The following is a 9,121-nucleotide window of genomic DNA, read 5'->3' on the forward strand; positions in this document are numbered from 1 at the left end:
GATCAAGTAAGCAACCTAAGACTGCACCCCAAGGAAATAGAAAAAGAACAGACTAACCCCAAAATTAGTAAAAAGAAGGAAATAATAAAGCTGAAAGCAGAAATAGAGTAGAAAAACAATATAAAAGGTCAATGAAACTAAGAGTTGGTTTTTTGAAAAGATAAAAGTGCAATCCCCAAATTCATATGAAACCACAAAAGACCCCAAATACCCATAGCGATCTTAAGCAAGAAAAATAAAGCTGGAATTATCACATTATCTGATTTAAAAATATGCTACAAAGCTACAGTAATCAAAAACAGCATGGTACTGGCATGGAAATAGACACATAGATCAATGGTACAGAATAGACTGGAAATAAATCCATGCATTTATGACCAACTGATTTTTTTATAAAGATGCCAGGAATACACAATGTGTGAAGGACAATCTTTTAAATAAATTTTGTTGGTAAAACTATATCCACATGCAGAAGAATGAAATTAGACCCTTATCTCATACCATATACCAAAATAAATCCGAAATGAATTAAGGACTTAGAAATAACATGCAAAGCTATAAAACCATCAGAAAAAATACAGTGGAAAAGCTCCATGCTATTGATCTGCATAATGATTTCTTTTTGTCTGTAACCCCAAAAGAATAGGCAACAAAAGCAAAAACAGACAAATGGAATTACATCAAAGTTAAAATCTGCATAAAAAAGGAAGCAATTGACAGGATGGAGAGACATCCTATGGAATGGGAGAAAATATTTGCAAACCATATATCTGATAAGAAGTGAATATCCAAAATATATAAGGAACTCAATAGCAAGAAAATGAATAGCCTGATTTAAAAATGGGGCAAGAACGTAGACAGACATTTCTCAAGAGAAAACATACAAATGACCAACAGGTATGTGAAAAAATGATCGACATCACTAATCATCAGAGAAATGCACATTAAAACCACAAGGAGTTATCAGCTCACACTTGTTAGAAAGGCTTTTATAAAAAAGATGAAAGATAAGTGTTGGTGAGGATGTAAAGAAAAAGAAATTCTTTTTTTTTTTTTTTTGAGATGGAGTTTCACTCTTGTCGCCCAGGCTGGAATGCAGTGGTGCGATCTTAGCTCGCTGTAACCTCTGCCTTCCGGGTTCAAGCGATTCTCCTACCTCTGCCTCCTGAATAGCTGGGATTACAAGCACTGGCCACCACGCCCAGCTAATTTTTGTATTTTTAGTAGAGACAGGGTTTTGCCACGTTGGCCAGGCTTGTCTCGAACTCCTAGACTCAGGTGATCCACCCACCTTGGCCTCCCAAAGTGCTGGGATTACAGGCGTGAGCCACCACGCCTGGCCAAGAAAAAGAAATTTTTACACACTATTGCTGTGAATGTAAAATTAGTGTAGTCATTATAAAAAACAGTATGAGGCTCCTCAAAAAATTAAAAACAGAACTACCATAATATCCAGCATTCCCATTATTGGGTATATAGCCAAAGGAAGTGAAGTTAGTATGTTGAAAAGATATTTGCATTTTCACGTTCTTTGCAGCATTATTCACAATGGCCAAGATAGCAAATCAAACTGTCTGTCAATGGATGAATGAATTAAAAAAATATGGCATAGATACACAATGGAATACTATTCAGCCATTAAATAGTCATGTGTGACAACATGGATGAACCTGGAGGACTTTATGTTAAGTGAAGTAAGCCAGGCACAGAATGACAAACCCCACATGATCTCACTTATATGTGGAATCTTAAAAAGTTGAACTCATAGAAGTAGAGAGTAGAGTGATGGTTACCAGAGGCTGGGGTGGTGATGAGGGAGTAGGGGTTGGACAGACTTTGGTCAAAGGACACAAAATTTCCTATAAATAGGAAGAAAAAGTTCAAGAAATCTTTTGTACAATGTGGTGACTATGGTTAAAAATGCTAACAGTAGATTTTAAGGGTTCTCATTAGAAAAATGATAACTATATGAGGTAATACATATGTTAATTTGATTTAGCCATTCCACAATGTATATATGTTTCAACATATAATGTTTTACACAGTAAATATATATATTTTTTTGTTTTTCAATTAAGAAAATAAAAAACATTAAAAATTGCTGTGATATTTACTTTAAGAAAGCTAAGCATTGCAGACCTTCTTGGTGCTATTGGTATTTGTTACAAACCATAGTTGTTACCCAGTCACAATCACACATAGTACCAACTCTCCAATCTTACATATATTCTCATTTTTCTTGGGAAAATACCTAGGTGTAAATTTATTGAATTATGTAGTAAGTGACTGTAAGGAACTTCTGAACTGTTATTAAAAAGATCTGCATCATTCTTATTCCCACCAGAAATGTATGAGTTTTTGTGGTGCTGGATGCTTGCCAGAACTTTGTGTTGCCTATTTGTTTCCTTTTGTTATTCTAGTAGATGGGTAGGGGTATCCAGTGCGATTTACATTTTTATTTCCTCAGCCACAAAACATGAAGATTTCTGTTACTCAAGAAAACTGACTGATGGTCAGTTTTAACTGGGTAATAGTTTAAAACTTTTCAACTTGATTCTTCTAAGATTATCTAACACGTTATACATAAAGTAATATATATTATTATTAGCAGAAATATAATGAGTTTATACTTCAAGAGTAGGGAACTACTTAAGGAGATAAATGTAACATCTGTTAATTTATTTGCAGTCAGCCTAATTTAAAATTTTAAAGCATAATAGGTATTTATTTTGTTGGTGGTTTTGTTTTCTAAGAAATAGTAAGTCAAAACTAATAAAAAATCAACTGGTTACATTTTCATTATAAGTAGTAATTTATATGCAATATTAGAAACTTCAAATATTATTTTGTATTGGTGTACATAAAAAGTAATTGTAGAATTAATTATTGACTATTTTTCCTTTAGTAGTCAAAACTATTCATTTATGATTTTAAGTGTGCTTGGCTTTAAGTATATACTGACTGCTTAGGAATTTAGCTCTTCTCATACTTCAAAACACTTTGAATAAATAGTAAGTGCTTTTGAAAATACTTTTCTGTGCATGTTCTGATGGCTAGGGACTGGTAATAAGTTACATGCCTGTGTCAAGTGCAGGTCTGGTGTAGAATTACTATCAACTACATTGATAAATGATGCAATTTACTGTAGTATTCTGATTTTTTTAATAACATTACACTGCTATGTAGAGTACTTCACCTATTTTTTTTTCTGATGGAGGAATTGACACTGTCAAGTGAATATAAATAAAGTTGAAAATACTTTGATACACAATCCTTGAGATAATTTATACATAATTTTTGATAATTCTGACTCCCTAAATTCTTTTTTCTTCGATTATAGAAACTGATCAAGTGCATGTATTTGCTTGAATATGCACATATTGCCAGCATTTATCCATTCAATTTTGTATTTATACACTGGAGCCTCACCTATTCTATGTAGATAATTTCAAAGAATTCAAATAAAAAAAACAGGATGGTGACAATTCATTATTTTGACTTTACTGTCTTAGGAGACAATGATGGTGTTCTATTAAAGTGCTACTCAAAGTATGTTTTGTGGGTGGATGTTGGTCCACAAACATAGTGGCTTACAATGACATATGTTCAGAAATTGAAGGCACACATTTTGAAACTTTTAAAGTAATTGGAAATCGTCATGACTTCCAAGCAGTGCAATGCAGAAAAGTTGGTCTATGATGACCTGGGGTGGGACAAGGGCCAGGGGTAGGGTTAATATGATCCTTCATTAGATGCTTTGAAAAACGCTTATCGATAACATAATAGCAATTCTCTGAATTCTTTGACTTTGAAATATAACTTTATTGAGTGCTATGTGTCAGGTACCATGCTAAATATTTTACAGTGGTGTCTTATTTATCCCACATACGATTCCTACTGTGTGTTCTTGTTGGATCCATTTTACAGAAGCGCAAAGAAGTATCTTGCTTAAGGTCACACAGCTAGCAGATACATATCAAGATAACTATGGAGAATAAAGTAGCTTTAGGTAAACTGATAATTCTACTTTGACAGTAGTTCTTGCTGGTTTTGGCTCTTACATGTGCAACCGAAGGACAGTAAGTGATGTATATACATTGTAGGACTTTCTGAGACGTGTGCCTCTGGTTTAGGATGGATGAGTGGACAACCAACCTAGATAAATCACAGCCTTACTATTTCAGGGGTGAAAAGAATCCTCTGTCCCAGTGTGAACACTTCAGATATATGTTACCACATAAAAAAACATAAATCTCACTCATAACCAATAGGAGAGCTCCAACACATTCATGAAAGATCCACCGTGGAGACCTAAATACCTCGCAGTAGGCCCCACATCCAACATCGCAGAACAAATTTCAGCATGAGATTTGGAGGGGACAGATATCCACAGTGCCTTCCTTTGTTGATTCTAATTGGCTCTGAGGCTGAAAATTTAATGATTAAATATATTAGGTGTTGAGTAAAAGGCTAAGGTATTCCCATTTGATAAGTGTATTGAATTGACACATAGAAGATGTGACAATGCTTGTGTTTCTTCAAAGTATCTTTTGTATTTGTTTGATTCCTGGATTTTGGTAGATTCTGGTTAGGAATTATTGCCAGATGAGGGTTCTGATAGCTGAGCTCTTATTGTACTTAGCAAACTCATTAGTAAGTATCAGAACTTTGTCGTGTGTTCTTTGTGTCTCTTCCATATTCAGATTCAATAGAGACAAAAGTATTATCAATATTTTTATTCAAATAAGATAAATGTCAAACATGTTATATGCACATATTTACTAAAATAAACAGCAAGATGTTTATTTCAAGGTGAGAGATGATACTACTAAGCTTTTCTGTCTTGGCTGGCTTCTCCTTGCTTTACATAACTGCATCACTAACACAGAGCTGAATAGGTGCAGCTGTTGCTTTCTGTATTATAATGATCACTATTAATTCCTCCTGGCAAATCTAGCCCTCGGGTATCAGTATCAGTGAGTTAGGAAACAAAGACTGATCTGAAATGCTGGAGGTGGTGAAGGGAGTACTTCAGGGATAAAAAAGGGTTTTCTGATTTTTTCAGTATAGTTTTAAAACTTGGCTTTTTGGCCTGCCAACAATGTGAGATTACAGATGCTTTGGAATTATATTTACTTGGAGGAGGGTAGACAGAGAAAGATTTTATTTTGTATTTCATTTTACTGGATGCCTTTTGACATTCTGGGCAGCATCAATTGGCAAAGGTGATTATGTAATCAATAGGGCAGAAGAAGAGCTCAGGGTTGCAATTAACATGTTATTGTACAAATCAAAGGAACAGTAAAAGGCAATTTGTTCAACTTGTCACCTGGCCTGGACAATGTGTGTGCAGACAATAAGGGAGACAGAAAATTGGAGTGGAGAAGCAAGAAACTCAAAACACTCAGGCTTTTGTTTACTTTCTTTTCAACTTAGTATTAGCCAAGGTTACCTGTCTGACAACTTTAAAGTAGGTGACAAGGATCAATGATGTATTATTTCCAGTTTTTAAACTAACATTTAGAGAAAGATTAAATAATCTAAGTTATTTGGATGCTAGTTTTATAATTTTTAATATCTCATATTACATCTCTATATTTGAATTTAAGACAGTCAATATAATCGTTCTATTGGGATAAAACTTTGCTTTCTAACAAATCCCAGGCAATGGGTGCACTCCCTGCACTTTGGGAGGCCAAGGCAGGCAGATTGCTTGAGGCCAGGAGTTTGAAACCAGCCTGGCCAACATGGTGAAACTCTGTCTCTACTAAAAATATAAAAATTAGGCAGGTGTGGTGGTGCATGTCTGTAATCCCAGCTTCTTGGGAGGCTAAGCCACGAGAATTGTTTGAACCTGGAGGCGGAGGTTGTAGTGGGCTGAGATGGTGCCACTGCACTCCAGCCTGGACAATCGAGCAAGACTGTCTCAAAAATAAAGAAAAACAAATCCAAGGCATGAAATAAATATTCATCTAATAGCCCCTATACAACTCACAGCATGTTACAAAAATTTATGAAGACAAAGTTGTGAAACATTCCAGAATAAAATAAATAATGATCATATGATAAGTCTTCCTATAATTTAGTTATGTTTGATTTAAAAAGTAGAGCTTTGGATAAAATCCTTAGGTATATGAAAAATAATTTAATGGAATCTCATTCTGTTCTTAAAGAAACTACTTAAAGGATATATTACTATTTGATACTTATAAGCCTTATAAAGTAGTTTGCACACATGTTATCCTTCTATCACCATATAATATTAGCAGATTAATAAATAGTGCTGTGTGTGGCATACCTTGGTCTTTGAAACTGAGCAACACTTCACAAATGGCCTAATCTCCAAGTATGAGTGTTTATATTTTTGTAATTATGTAGAACAAATGTATAATGATACTATTATCTCATTTCATGATTGAATATTTATTAATGATGTTATTCACTCCCTCATTTATTCAATAAACATTTACGGAATATCTATATTGTACCAGGCATTGGGTTACATACTATGTTTTTTTTTAACAGAATAAAAATATTTTTATAATGTTTTATAGCTTAGGATAGTGAAAAGAAGAGGCCCTCCAGCTAGATTGCTTTGTTTCAAAATTTACTACTGTCACTTACTAGATGACTAACTTTGGACAAATTACTGAACTTCATAGTTAAAGTTGAGGTAATAATATTTCTTTCATGAAGTTCTTGTAAGGATCAAATGAGTTGTGTGGTGTGTGTGTGTGTGTGTGTGTGTGTGTATAAATTAGGATACTACCTGAGAAAAACTTTATACACACACACCTGTTGTTATATTATTTAACTAGATGTGGTTCTGACCTTAGAACTTGGCATTGAGTGGATGAGATAGATGCTATCTCTATTAGTCAGGGATCTCTAAAAAGGTTGGACCAATAGGATGTGTGAATACATATACATACATACACATACATATATAAATTTATATATATAACTCTATATGTAAATGTACATATAACATATATATTTGTTTTATGTATAGATAGATGGATAGATAGACAGAGAGAATAATGTAGCTTGAGAGTCCACAGGCAACCCAGAGGCAGGATTCCCTCTGTGTGTACTTGTGTTCAAATTTCTTCTTCTTCTTCTTTTTTTTTTTTTTTTTTTTAGATGGAGTCTCGCTTTGTTGCCCAGGCTGGAGTGCAGTGGTGTGATCTTGGTTCGCTGCAAGCTCCGCCTTCTGGGGTTGACGCCATTCTCCTGCCTCAGCCTCCCGAGTAGCTGGGACCACAGGCGCCTGCCACCACGCCTGGCTAATTTTTTTTTGTATTTTTAGTAGAGACGGGGTTTCACTGTGTTAGCCAGGATGGTCTCGATCTCCTGCCTCATGATCCGCCTGCCTCGTCCTCCCAAAGTGCTGGGATTACAGGCATGAGCCACCATGCCCGGCCTCAAATTTCCTCTTCTTATAAGAACATTGGCCATATTGGATTAGGGCCATCCTCATGATTTTGTTTTAATTTAATCACCTATTTAAATAACCTGTCTGCAAATATGGCCACATTCTGAGTTACTGGGTACTAGAATTTCAGCATATGAAAATTTCTGGGGGACATAGTTCAGTACATAACACCAGCCTAATTCTATATAATACAACATACATGGTAATAACAATAGTTTATACACAATTCTGAGGAAACAGAGGTAGGAGTACTTTTCCCTAGGCAGTGATAGTGGAAGTTTTGGTAGCAGCTGGAGGGATAGGCATTTCAGTGAAGATGTTATTTACAAATGAAATTAAGAAAAAGAATTCACCTTGAGTACAAGCAAAGAAAGCTTTCTAAATAGAGGGAAGAGCACAGGCACAATCAATGATGCACAGAAGTTCCTGGTTCCTTAGGGTTCTACAAGTCTTTCAGTTGAGGAGGTTGTGGGGAAGAGTGAGAGGAAGTGAGCTTCAGGACTGGGAAAGAATGTAAGTGATTTTTTTTTTTCTTTCCGACTTTTATTTCAGGTTCAAGGGATACATGTGCAGGTTTGTTACACGGGTAAACTGGATGTCATGAGGGTTTGGTAACCAGATTATTTCGTGACTCAGCTAATGAGCATAGTACCCTATAGATAACTTTTTGATCCTTACCCGCCTTCCATGCCCCACCCTCAAGTAGGCCCTAATGTCTTTTGTTCCCTTCTTTGTGTCCGTGTGTACTCACAGGTTAGCTTCCACTTACAAGTGATAACATACAGTATTTGGTCTTGTGTTCCGGCAATAATTCACTTGAGATAATGGCCTCCGGCTGAATCCATGTTGCTGTGAAGGACATGATTTGATTGAGGCAGCGCTCCTTTCGTGGGAGCACTAGCTGCGGGGGTCTGCCTGCAGACCCTGACCCAAATGATGGATGAATAAAACGTACACTGATAACACAGATATTCTGTTTTGCCAGTCCTGCTGAATGTCCGACCGCCTACACACCAATAGAGTTTGTCACTGCAGCTGGCCTCAATCAGCTCGGGAGGCTTGCATTTATTCATTAAGATTGGTTAACAAAAGCTTGAGTTAACACCAATATATGTAATTAACATGGTTAAGAGAGTAGTTCTGCGAATGACTCAGGTAATGCGGTCTACAGTAAGTACTATTAGGGGGCAATATCCCTGGTTGACCTCCCCCCGAGAGGGCCATCTGGCTCAAAGGTTAGTTAATGGAGGTAGGGTAAACAGACTTAACAGGGGAAGCCTTTATTGTTCCTAGTATTTACCCTATGACCTAATGCTTTAAGGTAAGAACCAGCTGCCTTCAGTCTGTTCAATTATTACAAGCTATGTAACCTTTCGGCCTTCCAAAAAGGTTTGTGACTATTCCCTATAACTTTCCCTAATATTTCCCTTTAATATTTCTGCAACCATCCTGAGTGGATCCCAACATTTGATTCTTTTTTTACAGCTGCATAGTATTCCATGGTGTATATGTACCATATTTTCTTTATCTAGTCTACTATGAATGGGCATCTAGGTTGATTCCATGTATTTGCTATTGTGAGTAGTGCTGTGAAGAACATATGCATGCATGTTTCTTTATGGTAGAACAATTTATATTCCTTTGGGTATGTATCCAGTAATGGGATTGCTGAGTAAAATGGCAGTT

General features: G+C 35.9%; 1 annotated feature.

The window, feature by feature from the left end:
• Positions 8,513-8,807: an enhancer, noted in NCBI's record as "tiled region #10717; HepG2 Activating DNase matched - State 6:EnhF". NCBI's record gives its function as "activates a minimal TATA promoter and a strong SV40 promoter by Sharpr-MPRA in HepG2 cells {active_cell/tissue: HepG2}" and the evidence as "EXISTENCE:reporter gene assay evidence [ECO:0000049][PMID:27701403]".

This window comes from Homo sapiens, chromosome 3 (genome assembly GCF_000001405.40).
Source record: "Homo sapiens chromosome 3, GRCh38.p14 Primary Assembly".
Lineage (NCBI taxonomy): Eukaryota > Metazoa > Chordata > Mammalia > Primates > Hominidae > Homo > Homo sapiens.